This window comes from Homo sapiens, chromosome 14, assembly GCF_000001405.40.
Source record: "Homo sapiens chromosome 14, GRCh38.p14 Primary Assembly".
NCBI lineage: Eukaryota > Metazoa > Chordata > Mammalia > Primates > Hominidae > Homo > Homo sapiens.
Genome location: NC_000014.9, coordinates 39,910,952 through 39,913,150, shown reverse-complemented (window position 1 = coordinate 39,913,150; position 2,199 = coordinate 39,910,952). Strand labels below are relative to the sequence as shown.

Here is a 2,199-nt window from a genome sequence, read left to right as displayed (position 1 = left end):
TCTTGGACAAATTTTTCAATGTCCTTCACTGTTACTACTCTAGTCTGGATTTCTATAAAGACAAACATTGCCAGTTGTTTAACACACATTCCCTTTCTCACTATCACTACAGAGGCTGAAAAGGTGATATGTTTTTCTACCCTCTCTTGCAGTTCAATGGGGCCATGCTGTCCCAGTTACGGTTGATAAACTGAAAAGGAAAGCCTGCTGTTTGTTATAGCAGATTGAAGGTAGCTGAAGGAGAACCTCCTCTCACTAGCTGCTTTATTCACCTTATTACTGGCCCATTACTGTAGCCCCAGCCTTGCCTTTCCACCTTCACTACCAGAGGAAGCTTCAGGATGAATGTCCACCAACCCCACCACCATGAGCTGGGCTCTGAGGAAGCCCTCAGGTCTTTCATTTGCTGCCTGCTTCATCAACGCCTTGCTCCCAGTCTTTGCTGGTCTGACATCAGTGGTTCACTGCACTCTTGTGGAAACCTAGGTATTTACTTTTTATGGTATTTTCCTTTACCTCAGTCCAAGCTTACCTTCACTATACTTTTCACAAATTACTCAAGGTTTCACTATACTTTCCAGATATTTCTCAGAATCACTTCTGCTACAGCACAGACAGCGACTTTAGTACACACATATGCATGTGCACATACGACTTTCGGTCATTTCAATAAGATTAGAGGAAATATAAATTGTTACAAATAACTAGACTGAAACAAAGATGCTCACCACATATTCTGGAAGATCTGGATAATATCCACCTCAAAAGGTTAAAAAAGATCAAAGGTGTCAATGATAATCTGGGGTCACTGAAACTGCTAGAAAACTATTTACAGAGATTTACACCCAAGGTAATCTCAGTTTGCCAGAAAACTAAGGATGTTTCCCATGAGAAAAACACACCGTGGAAGAAGTAACAGTCCCCATTAGATGAATTCATTGAACATGAAGAATAATGGAGAAAGAAATAAAAAATAAGCTTAAGATTTCAGTCTTACAGCACACTTTACAGAATGAGCACACTTTTACAGAAATGAGCAAGTTTAGTGGGAGAAGAAACCTGGAGTGAGACATATAAGGCCATTTTTAAACGCTTTTAGCATTTTGTGTTTCATATGAAGACAATACTAAAAGAGAAAATACCCTGTTGATGGATGGAGACACAGGACCAAACTCGTAGTCTAGCACTACAGACCTGCGAGGAAGTCATCAACTCAGATGTAACCTCTGAAGCCCGCCAAGTAGATGGCTTCTCTGAGAGGAGAGAAGAGAGAGGGACACAGGACCAAGACTTCACTTCTCAGTTAGAATCTCAAGGCAGAATATCAAGCATAAAAGAAGAAACCTGGAACATTAAAACTACTCACTTTTCTTTAAATTATCATTTGTGGTCATAAATGAAATTTTATCCTCTCGATTTTGATTCCATTTTTTTTCAAATTAGCTCTTGCTTTGTTGTTCTATGATCATATTTACAACTGTCCACAATAACTTCATGAAATTTCAAGATTTTAGTGATATTTTCTGCTACATGGAAACTGAAATTTTTATCAATTTCTTTCAGTTCCATGACATTCATAACAAAATTATATAAAATTCAAAGCTGAGCTTTTCTACTAACTGCAATCTAAGCTACCTGCTTTAACATGCAATATCATCATTATCTAGTTTGTGATACTTGGGACAATTTTTAATCTAATTTGTGATGTTTCTAGCCAAATCCATTTAATTAATTTAGTTAAGAAACTTTCATGAGACCCTTCCTATACCAGGTACTTTACTAAAAATTAATATCCTCAAATACATTTTCTTCACTTATCAATTATAATATTCTGTCATCCAAATACTGTAGTTTAAATAATGATTTACTCTTGCTAGGCACATTTTCTCAACTGTTCTGAGATTTTAGAAGGCAATAATCACAATATTATTTTGAATATGTAACATCCTATTAAAGAAGAAACCAGATAAACTTTAAAAATATATTCAAATATATAGATGGAAAAAATCAATAATAATAAGTTATCAATATAGTTTAAAGAAAACGAGAGTATAATTGTGACAGGAAAATATATTTTTAAGTCAAAGAAAATCCTATTTTATTAATCCAAAATAAACACATCTTAAATACATCCCAGAGAATTCTGGCTGGGATGATTGTGTTCAAAGGCCCAATATGTTTGTAAAATCTATATGCCTT

At 35.2% G+C, this 2,199-nt stretch overlaps 1 annotated feature.

Moving 5' to 3' along the window:
* Positions 389-448: an enhancer, noted in NCBI's record as "active region_8292". NCBI's record gives its function as "activates an Ori minimal core promoter by ATAC-STARR-seq in GM12878 lymphoblastoid cells {active_cell/tissue: GM12878}" and the evidence as "EXISTENCE:reporter gene assay evidence [ECO:0000049][PMID:35858748]".